General features: G+C 32.6%; 1 annotated feature.

The window, feature by feature from the left end:
• Positions 1,247 to 1,787: an enhancer, noted in NCBI's record as "OCT4-NANOG hESC enhancer chr3:144578047-144578587 (GRCh37/hg19 assembly coordinates)". NCBI's record gives its function as "activates a minimal SCP1, AML or CMV promoter by ChIP-STARR-seq in naive H9 embryonic stem cells {active_cell/tissue: H9 hESC(naive)}" and the evidence as "EXISTENCE:reporter gene assay evidence [ECO:0000049][PMID:30033119]".

Raw genomic sequence — 2,903 nt, forward strand, 5'->3', positions numbered from 1 at the left:
GAGTTCTTTATTACTTAATGGGTATAATATTTCTTATTCCCGTGACAGATCTATTAAAAGCCCTGACTTCACCACTATGCAGTATATCCATGGAACAAAACTACATGTATACCCATAAATTTATAGAAATTTAAAATTTGTTTAAATTTTTTAGATAGTAACCCCTTCTCAGATATATGGTTTGCAAATATTCTCTCCCATTCTATAGGTTGCCATTTTATTCTACCGATTGATTTTTTTGCTGTGCAGATACCTACATACAGTGTCGTATTATTCGGCCATACAAAAGGAAATCCTGTAATGTGCTACAACACGGATGAACCTTGAGGACGTCATGCTAACTAAAATAAGAAAGTCACAGAAGGACAAATACTATGTGATTCCACTTATATGAGAATTATCTAAAGTAGCCAAACTCATAGAGGCAGGAAGTATAATTGTGGTTTTCAGTGGCTGAGAGGAAGGAGACATGAGAAGTTGCTGTTCGATGGGTACAGAGTCACACAAGATGAAAAATCCTAGATATCTGCTATACAAAATTTTACTTACAATGAACAATACTGTACTGTATACTTAAACATTTTTTAAGAGGGCAGGTTGAATGTGTTACTTATCACAATACAAACGACACAAAAGAAAGTTCAGCCTAAGACAACTCTTTTGTGTAAAGACAAGGAAAAATATATTAGTTGATCAAAATATCCTCATATATGCTAAGAATGCTCTTTCATAAAAATATTTTTGTAATATATGCACTTTTAACAGAAACATGCGTTGTTATAAGCATACTCAAATACATGAGTGGAGATGGTGCCCTTCGGAAACTAGTAGCTCTGACTTGAAGAGCATGTGATTTTCACTGGCAATTCATGTTTACCATGATTATTTTTACATAGAAGTGAATTTTACCCCCTTATTTGTAGCCTCCATTTTGGTATGTGTTCTCTCAAATGCTGAATGGTCTTTCAGTAAATATTTTACTGCAGCTAATTAGTATTTAAATGCTGGCTCATAGTAACCCCTATGACAAAACAAAACACTGATCAAAATTTCAGTATTTCTCTAGTTTTTTATCTCAATAAGATAGTCTTAAATGTTGGACCGAGTTCATGTAAGTTAATTTTCTTTGATACATTTGAAAATATCTTGAGAAATTTAATGCTTTTGATGTTTCATAGTTAAAATGGTCTATTAAATAAACTTGCAATTTTGAAGATGCACATTTTAAATATAGCAATGCAATCAATGATTACTGCCATCAGTTTGGGTTTGGATAAAAAGATCAATGACTCAGCAAGAATGCCCATCTGAGCACACATAAGGATTGGTCATTGATTTATGAGACTCACCTCTGCAGGGCCTGTGACTTCTTACATCTCGAGGCTTAGGCTGCTTCTCACCACCACATGTGCTCCGTGAGCTGTCTGCTCTCGGCCTCTGCATCAGGTTCAGTTATACAGGGCCATGCTGTGCCTGCACTTCAGGGCTAAGCTCCATGCTTTGTGCTTAAAAAGGTTCTCCATTACCTATGCTTGTCATTACTCTGTGGGAGTTCCTTATTTAACAAGATCATAGGTATTCTGAAACCAACTGCTCCAATATGTGTAGCTCTGCATCACAGTACTGCTACGAGCCTAACCACAATTCTAAAACGCGACTATGTCTAGACACAAATTTTTTTTAAATCACTTAGCACTGGACACCAAAATACGGAGAGCATCAAGTTACCTGACTCTGTGCTGAACATCTTACAACCTAAAATGGTAGTTCAGTTGTACATTAGTATATAAGATGACACACTTGACAACAAAACTCCTTTTATGGAACTGAATTAAAATTTTCAGTCATCTTTTTTGTATCTCTGCTATTTAAAATATACAAATGAGCACTTTGTTCAAAATGCATTATTTTCTCATCTATTTTTATTATTATAGAAACGTACATATGTTGGCAATGCTCTTTACTAGGCTAGTCAACTATTAAGAAATCTAATGGCATTTTAATGTGATTTAAATGTAATCAATAGTCAATAATTTCATCTTCATGCTTATGTTTTTATTGGTTTGATCAGAATTCTTCGATATCCCCCACCCCTTTCTTTTAAGTAATTGGTTCATATACATGAAGGAGAATTTACTTTTTAGGGCACTTAATCTATAGTGGTTTCCAATTGTAAAATTTTAATTAAGGCTCTGGATGCTGATTGAGTTATGTTGCATTTTAAGTTCTCTAATGGAATTCTTTAAACTTGTCATTTTCAGATGCTTTTTTAATTTTAACATTTCTGGCTAAGCAATAAAATATTTGCACCATATTGACTGCTATGTAGGTATCCCATGGCATGTATAAAACTGAAAGTCTGAATTTCAATGATTTCAAAAATAGATTTTTATTTTCCCTCTTGTGAAAATAATAAACTCAGAGCCAGTTTATCTATACTGTTTTATTTCTGTTTTTTTCCTACATTCAATTCTACTTCAGATTCATGAAAGAAAATTAGAAAAATTCTAAATTCAATTTAAAAATTTTAAATACTGAGACTCCTAAGTGTCCTCAAAGAAATTCACCAAATTTTTGGAAAAAAAACAAAAGTATTCCTAATTATGTTTTATTGAAGCTAATGGCCATTGACCCATGTGTTTTTATAAATCATTACATATTCAAATTTTGAAAATGTCTTTATGAGAAAATTGACTTAAGCGAAAGCAGTTAACAAAATCTTGTTAAGAGTGGAAACTAGACATGTAGATATCATTTGATGAAAACATTAATTCCAAAAACTACACACACACACACACACACACACACTACATTCTTTTCCTATTTGGTTAAATAAGAATGGCTTTTTTTTTTGCAAACAGTTTTTCTACTTTTTAATATGCTTTTTTTCATAAAAATCAAGC

This window comes from Homo sapiens, chromosome 3 (genome assembly GCF_000001405.40).
Source record: "Homo sapiens chromosome 3, GRCh38.p14 Primary Assembly".
NCBI classification, from domain to species: domain Eukaryota; kingdom Metazoa; phylum Chordata; class Mammalia; order Primates; family Hominidae; genus Homo; species Homo sapiens.